The sequence below is a fragment of the Homo sapiens genome, chromosome 18 (assembly GCF_000001405.40).
Source record: "Homo sapiens chromosome 18, GRCh38.p14 Primary Assembly".
NCBI classification, from domain to species: domain Eukaryota; kingdom Metazoa; phylum Chordata; class Mammalia; order Primates; family Hominidae; genus Homo; species Homo sapiens.
Window position 1 is genome coordinate 54,383,793 of NC_000018.10, and position 9,444 is coordinate 54,393,236.

General features: G+C 40.4%; 2 annotated features.

The window, feature by feature from the left end:
- Positions 2,780–3,465: an enhancer, noted in NCBI's record as "NANOG-H3K4me1 hESC enhancer chr18:51912942-51913627 (GRCh37/hg19 assembly coordinates)". NCBI's record gives its function as "activates a minimal SCP1, AML or CMV promoter by ChIP-STARR-seq in naive H9 embryonic stem cells {active_cell/tissue: H9 hESC(naive)}" and the evidence as "EXISTENCE:reporter gene assay evidence [ECO:0000049][PMID:30033119]".
- Positions 8,993–9,062: an enhancer, noted in NCBI's record as "active region_13350". NCBI's record gives its function as "activates an Ori minimal core promoter by ATAC-STARR-seq in GM12878 lymphoblastoid cells {active_cell/tissue: GM12878}" and the evidence as "EXISTENCE:reporter gene assay evidence [ECO:0000049][PMID:35858748]".

A 9,444-nucleotide genomic window follows, 5' to 3' on the forward strand; every position in this document is an offset into this window, starting at 1 on the left:
TCTGAGCTGCAGCTGGAGATTGCTGGTTGGTTCACAGGAACAAGTAGGGTTAATCTAAAATGTAGGTGAAAACTTAAAAACAACTAATGAGTTTAGAATTTAATAACAAATGTATGATAAATTTTGAAACCTAATTTTTCTGTCACCAGTCATCATTTTTGTTTAAAAAACACAAACCATCATAGGACTAAGTGGTTTCCAAAATGGACTTTAGTCTTATACTTGGCCTGATTATTTGCATAAGGTGCAGCAAGAATAGTTATTTGTACATAGTCCTTTTGGATTGGCTTTGATGGAACACTGGTCCACAAGGAATCTCAGGTGAGACTTTTTAAGCTGAGCCCAGCCATGGGTTTGTATCCTCAAATACCTGTAAGTTGGGTGATTCTCTCCTTTTAAGGTCCCAAGATAAACTTGGAGCTCCTAGGCCTGTTACAAAGTGACATTCTTTACTGACCACAGGCCAGGAACCCTGTACAGGGACTGTGTAGGCAAGGGTATGAGGCCAGTTCTTCCTACAGGGCTTTTAGCAGCTCTGCAAGTCAAGATTGACTTCTTAAAGGGAAGCATACCCTTCCAGTCAAAGCCTTGGTAAAATAACCAGTTTCTCCAATTGCATACTGTTGAAAAAAAAATGGATCCTTATTGCACTGATGCAAATAACTGTATTGCCATAAGTTAAGAATACTCACACATAGTTTCCAAATTCTAGAGGAACCAGGCAGAGAGAAACAAACATACTCCAAATTTTGTTCACAGGAGTGTAACTTAATTAAAGGCCGTAAATAGTGCAAAATAAGTTTCCTTGACTTTGAAAAACAAAACATGGATCAGCAGTGTTCCAAGCAAAAGTCAAAAAGATTTGCTTTAGTTTCCTGAGTTCAGTCCATTTAGTGAACTCGTTTTGCCTGATATTCATGAACACTTCAGCTCTTTTGAGTCTTGTACATTTTTCCTTTATTCCAATGTCACAATCTCCAAACTTATCAGAAACCTGTATTTGAGAGCACCTGTCACAGTCCTATGGCTTATAATAAACCATCTTTTGAAAAGGATTAAAACAAGATAATAATTGTCAATAGCAAAATGTCCAGGATGGTTAGAAACACAATTGACAAAGAAGTTTGGTTATCTCTGTGGTTTACAACCTTAATTATGATTGATAGCATATACTTAGACATTAGAATTTTAGAAGTCCCATATAATTTTGGAACATATATTATTCACCAAAATATAACCTAAAGAAGATTGAACATCATCTTGGCAATCCCATGTGACTAAGTATGTCAAATAACCATGTTTACTTGTTTTCTGCATGTTTCAGGGGCCCTCTGATCCATCCAAAAAGCCCGGCATCAGGAAAGACAATTTCAAAACTGAAGTTTGATTTTGGGAAGCCTATTAAATATGTTAGAAGTTCAAACCACTTGATATTATGAAATAGAATTTCATATTACCATAAGTTATTTATTTTGTCAAAATGATGACTCCAAAATTTTAAAGAAGCAAAAACCTTTTTATAACCCTTTACAAATTTTGCTAAAGATGTGCTTTTATTTTAATGCTCAATTTACAGAAAAAATATATAATACCTTTTTTGAATTTAGTCAATATGTTGAAACAGAGAACCTCTTCTGCAAGATTAATTCTTATAATCCTTTCACCACTTGTTTGACCCTTCAGCTTTATCTTATCTAATTTAAAACAATCCTTTATCCCTAGGCAAAAACTTACATTTCCATGCCTTCTTATAACCTTTTACTAAAAAACACATTTTACTGTTCTTACACACCTTGCATGTAAATATATTTCCAGTAGTTTCAGTTACATGTTATAATGGTAACTCCTAGCAATTTTAACTTTAATGTAAAACCTGGTAAGTTGTTTTAATTGTGTGCCAGGTACAACCAAGATTTGACTCCTTCCAGCATAATAGAAGGCGTGGTTAGTTCCATATGTCCCCAGGCCTTAACAGTTGTGGATCAGGCAAGTCAGATAGTTCTCAACACCCCAAAAGCAGCTTATAACCTCAAAACACTTCGCAAACTTTACATCTAACTTGCATAATTTAGTCTACTATTTACATTTTGATGGCATCTGCTTTTAACCAATAATCTTTAAGGCTATTTTATTTTTTTCTCAAAGATTAAAGTCACGTGAACTGAGAGGTACCACAGCTTTTATCTTCCCTTTAAAAAATATTTGATCTAAGCGCTGTGTTTCTTTAGGTCAAATTAATTAGAGCTCTTTTTACAGACATCATACACACAACACATACAGCTACGCAGACAGGTAGGAGAAAACTCAATCCCCTGGTGGAGCCCTGTAAGAGAGCAGGCTAGGAAAACATACAGATATCAAACCAGAAAGGACTTATTCCCTAAGGCAGGATTGCTAAACAAAGCCTTGCCGCACCCCCAGGATGTAGAACAAGATGGAGGCCTGCAGCGAAGTTTGCTACGAACCATGCAGACATGCAAAGCACACCAGATTGGCTACAGCTGAAGATCAGCCTCACAAATCCTTTTTCACAAAACTTTACAGAGGATATAAACAGTGATCCTTATCATTCCTAGCCTAGTAAAACATCTTCTGAAGGAAAAACCTCACTTAAAAGTTAACTGCTGGTGGGTTGGAGAAGGGGAAGAAAAGAAACAGTTTAAAAATGCCTGAGGAAGAGCATCTTATTCTTATACAACTGGTTGCTCCACCAGGGAGAAAAACTTAATTACTATCTGTTGGAGTTGAACCCCTTGGCAGGGGAAGGGGAAGATCTCGTGGCATTCCCCAGCCCCAGCCAGTTAGAGACAGGACCAGCTGGATTTCCTAGGCTGATTAAGAATCCCTAAGCCTAGCTGGGAAGGTGACCACAACCACCTTTAAACAAGGGGCTTGCAACTTAGTTCACACCTGACCAATCAGGTAATAAGGAGAGCTCACTAAAATTCTAATTAGGCAAAAACAGGAGGTAAAGAGTAGCCAAGAATCTATTGCCTGAGAGCACAGCAGGAGGGACAATGATAGGGATATAAACCCAGGCATTGGAGCAGGCAGCGGCTACCCTCTTTGGGTCCCCTCCCTTTGTATGGGAGCTCTGTTTTCACTCTATTAAATCTTGCAGCTGCACTCTCTTCTGGTCTATGTTTGTTACGGCTCAAGCTGAGCTTTTGCTCGCCGTCCACCACTGCTGTTTGCCGCCGTCGCAGACCCGCCGCTGACTTCCATCCTCTGGATCCAGCAGGGTGTCTGCTGTGCTCCTGATCCAGTGAGGCGCCCATTGCCACTCCGGATCGGGCTAAAGGCTTGCCATTGTTCCTGCATGGCTAAGTGTCCAGGTTTGTGCTATTCGAGCTGAACACTAGTCACTGGGTTCCACGGTTCTCTTCCGTGACCCACGGCTTCCAATAGAGCTATAACACTCACTGCATGGCCCAAGATTCCATTCCTTGGAATCTGTGAGGCCGAGAACCCCAAGTCAGAGAACACGAGGCTTGCCAGCATCTTGAGAGCCGCCCGCCGCCATTTTGGAAGCGCCCACCACCATCTTGGGAGCTCTGGGAGCAAGGACCCCCAGCTAACACCAGGAGGGAAGGAGGAGTGAGAAGCCCCTGCTTGCCTGTCTATCCCAAAAAAGAAAGGAAAAGGCCATGGAAATGCCCCGACCCCTGGGAGTGACAGAGGTAGGAGCACAGTTTCCCCTACCCTTAGAAGTCCAAGGATGAAAAAGGTTAGAAAGGACAGTGAGAGGTTTTGAGTCCCCATTTCATTCACTTCTAAACATTGGGCACCAAAGCTGTTGTAGGACTTACTCCTTAGTGCAGCTAAGAGCTGGGTCCTTGTGACATAGCCCTGAAATATTAGGCTTGTAGACCCTTTGAGGGGTGAGAATAATGGAATTTATCGGGCAAAAAGGAAAAAAGGGAAACAAGGACTCTGAAAAACCAGAGTCCCTGCTAGTGTGCTTCCTGCCTCCCAGATCGAATTCCAGGTTTCACCCAGGAAGAGGAAGGGCCAGGCTTTTCCTTGCTGCAAATGGCATGAACTTCTGTGGCTCCACCCCAGTGCACACTCATCCCAGTGCACAGGCCTGTTGGAATTTCTCTGGGAACCCATTTCCACCTGGCAGTCTCAATACAGACTATTTTCACTGCCCTGAAAATCCTCTGTGCTCCGCCTGTTGGTCCCAACTCCAACTGCCTGAAAATCCACTTTAAAATGAGGTAAATTAAACCTATTTTGGAGGAGCTATTTCTTTTTTTGATGTTGCTGCTCCTGTTCATTAAATAGGAGCAACAGTTGTGTATTTTGGATGACGTTGCTGTAGCCTTCTGACCTCTTGAGCCCTCAAAACAGATTTTTTAGTTTTTAAATGTTTTCCATTTCATCAGTTATATGTTCAGTTTTACAGATTTAGGACTAAATCTAGGAAAATTCAGTCCATTATAAAGAGTCAAGTCCATTTATGTTGCTACAGCAAAATGCTTGAGACTGGGTAATTTATAGAAAACATAAATATATTTCTGACAGTTCTGGAGGCAGGGAAGTCCAAGCTGCTGGCAGATGTTTGGCTGTCTGGTGATGGCTGCTCTCTGCTTCTAAAATGGCGTCTTAATGCTGCATTCTTTGGAGGGGGGGAACTTTGTGTCATTACATGATGGAAGGGACAGAAAGCAAAAGGGATCCACCAGCTTCCTTCACCAAGCTCTTTTAGAATGACATTGATTCTGCTCATGACTTAAATACCTCCCAAAAGTCTCTGTCTTCCAATACTGTTGCATTGGGAATTAAGTTTCCAACACATGAATTTAGGGAACACATGCAGACCACATGTGGTTTTGCATTGTGTTGCTTTTTCAAGCCTGGCTCAATGGTCACTATCAGTTTGGGTCTAATCTAGAAGCAAACCAAATAGTGATTTTAAACAAGGGAAGTTTAATAAAAAAGTTTTAAACTAGTTGAGGGAGAGTACCCAAGAAAGGGCAGACTTGGAAGAGGGAGCCCAAAGTCTGGATTCAGACCTTGTTGAAAAAAGGGTAACTGTGGCTCGCTGGATTGCAGTGAAAGTTATGGTTTGCTCAGACCAGTGCTGGCTGGTGTTTAGTTACCAGGCAAGCAGGAAGCCACAATGGTGACTCAGTGTGTGAGAATGCAGAAAGAGTTGGGGGAGGGGCACTAGTGCTGGCAGGACATCTGGAGTGTGAGGTGTCTCTTTTGGGAGGGTCGTAGAAGGTGATCACCAGCCCGGATGAGGTCTATAAAGTCACTAAGAATAATACATTACCAGAGCGTGGCTAGGGCAGAGCTGCCCCAGATGTCTTCACACCCACGCTTCTTATTGATGGTGTAGCTGCCAGAAAGCAGCAGGAGAGACCCTCTGGGGTGAATTGGGAGCTGAGAGACCGTACATTGATAACTAGTGCAGAAGCTGATCAGGTTGTAGGAAGGTTTTGATGAGAGAGCTCATCACAATGTAAATATAAAATATCTCACTCATCCTCCTTTGCCCTCCTTGTTTTGCAACATATTGCATAGCCTGTCCAAGAAATGTGGGCATATGGGTAAGGTAGTGAAAATACCAGGTCATTTAGAAAACTGAGGAACCGTGAAAACTCTTGAGCCAATATTTTCAAAATCTAATGAATGTGATAACTTCATAAAATAGTTCATGAACTAGAAATTGGGACTACTGTTTATATTCTGGAGTTACATGAATGGCACCCTCAATATAGCAGGAGCATAGAGCATTCCTTTCATTACTTTTCATCAAGATGGTCATATAGTTTTATATGAGCAATTCTGGAAGTGGAAAATTCTCTGCAGTCGGAATGCTTTGTTTCTTAGCATATACTTGCTTCAGTTAAGTCATGATTTACATTTCTGTCTTCACATTTTACTCTTAATTTTGCCTCTTAAGACAATTTCATATACATATTTCAATCTTCCTAATTTCTGTTGAAATCAACAGAAGTAATGTTCCATCCTTTAGGCTCAATGTTTCTAAATTATTTCTTTGGTAAAAGTTTTATTTCTTCTTTACCGTTTCACCTTTCTAGATGCTTTCTAGCTTTCAATTTTTTTTTTTTAATGTGGCACCAGATGTCCAGAATTCATAGAGTAGAATGTGGGGACTCTGTTTAATAGTTTATTATAGTACTTTATTCAACTAGTATTTATTTGGCTCCTGGCACTGTTCTAGGGCTGTGTGTGTCGGGGGGTGTGGGGGGTGGTGATCACAAATAAGGCGTCGCTCTATCATGAGGAACTCAGTGGAGGAAATATGTAAGTGGAGAAATGTATACTATAACCAGGTAAGTGTTGCTTCAGAGAAATGAAGATAGAACAACTGATAAAGAAGCACAGAAGATGGATCAGCTAAGTGGCCTGGGGAAAACCAGGAAAGATTTCACTCAGGAGAGGATACTTGAGTTGATATAGAAAAACAAACAGAAGTTTGCCATCAAGGAAATTGAGTAGAAGGGTGTGTGTTTTTGTTGTTGTTGTTGTTGTTTTTTGAGACAGAGTTTCACTCTTGTTACCCAGGCTGGAGTGCAATGGCGTGATCTTGGCTCACTGCAGCCTCTGCCTCCCGGGTTCAAGCGATTCTCATGCCTCATCCTCCTGAGTAGCTGGGATTACAGGCGCCTGCTGCCACGCCCAGCTAATTTTTGTATTTTTAGTAGAGACAGGTTCTCGCCATGTTGGCCAGGCTGGTCTTGAACTCCTGATCTCGGGTGATCCACCCGCCTCGGCCTCCCAAAGTGTTGGGATTTCAGGCATCAGCCACTGGGCCCAGCCTGAAGGGTGTTTTTTCTAGCCAGGAGATAATATGTGTGCAAAGATTGAGTGGTGAAAAGCCTGCTACAGAATTTGTTGAATCAGAATAGTGTGTGCTGTAAAAGAAGTCTGGGCTTCAGAATCAGCAGATTTATGATTCCACTATTTTATTAGCTCTTTACTGTGGACAAGTGTCCTGACCTTGCCTGAGCCTTTTTTGTTTTCCCTCTCTTTTTTGATATCTACTTTGCAGTTTTGTTTTGAGGATTAAATGAGAAAACGTATGCCTGGCACATATGAGCTCAGAAAATACAAATTGCCAAAGGGCTAATACATTTAGTTGAGGGAGACACTAGGAATAAGACATAAAGCTGCTTTTGCCTCTAAGGCAATAAAATGCCCTCTCCATTCTATTCTCCACACTACAGCAAGAACAATCTTTTGCAAACATGTCATGTGATGTTTATCTCTTCTTAAAATTTCCCCTGCCTTCCTTTCAGAGTAAAACGGAAATTCCTACCGTAGTCTAGAAAGTTCTATGGTATGCCAATATCTCTCAGTCCCCTCACCTTACAAAACCAGTGCATTTTCTACCACTCCATTTGCTATATAATTCAGCCATATTGGTCTTGCTCTTCTCAATTACTATGAACATGAGTGTCTGCTTTCAGAGCTTTGCACTGTTTCCTCCACCTGGATAGTCTTTCCTCAAATATTCCGTGATTCACTTCCTTACTTCAGGTGTATGCTCAAACGTCATTTACCAGAGGCCAACCCTGGCCACCACCATTGCTTACGCCATTACTCTTTGCCCCTTTCCTCCTTTGTTTTTCTTTAATTAATATTGAGGTTGGGGCCTTTGTTTGATTCACTGCTGTATCCCTAACAATTAGAAGAGCACTTAGCAGTTATGTAAAATGCTCCAAAAATACTTGTTCTCTGAATGAATGAGGCTGAGAAAGTGGCTTGGGGGCCCATCTGAGGTACTTGATATACTCAGCCAAGAATTTTAGATTTATTCTGTGGGCAGAAGGAAGGGGATTAGCATTTTTGATGCAGCCTAAAATGAATATTAATTTTTTGTTAGTCCCTATATTGATTTGTGCTTGCAGTAAGTGGAACTTTTTTTCAGATACTAAAGCCATTTTTTTTTTTCTTCTTTTTAGTAGCCAGTCCTTAAAACCTGATGCCACGGCAACAATATACTATGTTAATTTCATTAGATAGTAATGAAAGGTAGAATGAAGGCTTATTGTTTTTGTTCAGAGATAGAGCTACTCTTCGTGAGGTTTTTGTGATGTTTTAGTGTAAAACAAGTTCCCAGAATATAGTATTTTAATAATGTTAAGAGGGCTATTAATTTATTTTAGGTTGCAGTAGTAGATATTTAATTAATTGAACAATTTTTTGGGTGTGGGAGACACAAGTAAAAGAAAACAGAAATGAACACAAAGAAGTTTCTTTTGGCAGGTGGTCCAGAAGCACTGGTGACAGTGAGGAATAATATTGTTCATGACCTGGCTCATGATGGTGCCTCTAACAATTAAAAAGTCAATGCCTCTTTAAATCACAAGTATTCAATAATTTTTTAAAGAGAAACCTGGGGAAACATAAAATTTTATTCAGAAACAGATTTGCTCATTCCAAGCCAAAGCAGAATAGTTAGATATTCTATTACAAATGAGCAAAGCAACATCAATCATACCTTAATAAAATGGTTTTAAAAAAGATGGGGGAGGAAAAAATGAGCAAAGAGTAGCAGATATTTAAAAAATATAGTTCTTGTTCTCTTTCTCTCTTTCTCTGTCTCTGTCTCTCTGTGTGTGCACGTACATAGTTTTATGAGGCAGATTTCTTAGGAGGGTTTAAAATTTAATTGTAATCTTTTTCTTCTCTTATTAGCTGGAGTACGTTAGGCAAATTAAACCTCTGATCTTCAATTTCTTAAGGGGAGCTATGGTATCTATCTCATACGGTTGTGAAGATTAAGTGAGGTAATGCTTGTAAAGTGCTTACTTAGCACAGTTCCCGGAATATAATAAGTGATTTGTGTTAGTTGTTGCTGGTAAAAAGAATTATGCCAGTTCATGGTGTCAGAATTTCAGCCAGTAATGACTGCCTGTAGAAACAGAAGCGTTATTAATAGTAAGAGCTGTTATGCTTTTTTATTCCACTAGAGGGCACCTTTCTCCTTCTGGAAACCTGATGTAGACATAAAGCATTATGACTCTGGCCCCAACTCACTTCACTTCCCTTTAGCATCCTCAGCCCCAGGATTCCTGTTAGACCACTAATAACTTCACATTATGCCAGGTCTCTCCCTGGTCATCCTCCCAACACTCACATAATGGAAGGATGTTTTAGCCTTGGCATATGCTTTTTGCTAGTCTAAAGGGCGGTCCTTAAGAATGTAAAAAATGTAATAATAATTGGCTTTGGGTGTTCAGCAAGACATAAACTTGATATAGTGAGCTAGGAACAGGGATTCAAAGGAAATATCCTTATTACTTCTTACCCTGAGGCGTCCTTCTCATATGCATGATTAAATCAAGTCTACCTAGTGGACTAAACCTGTGGTGGTAGCCTCCCCAACATCTCTCCTATTTTAAGTCAGGGAAAAAAAAAAACAGAAAATGTGGGATGCGGAAAGAGGCAGGCGGGGAGCGGGGG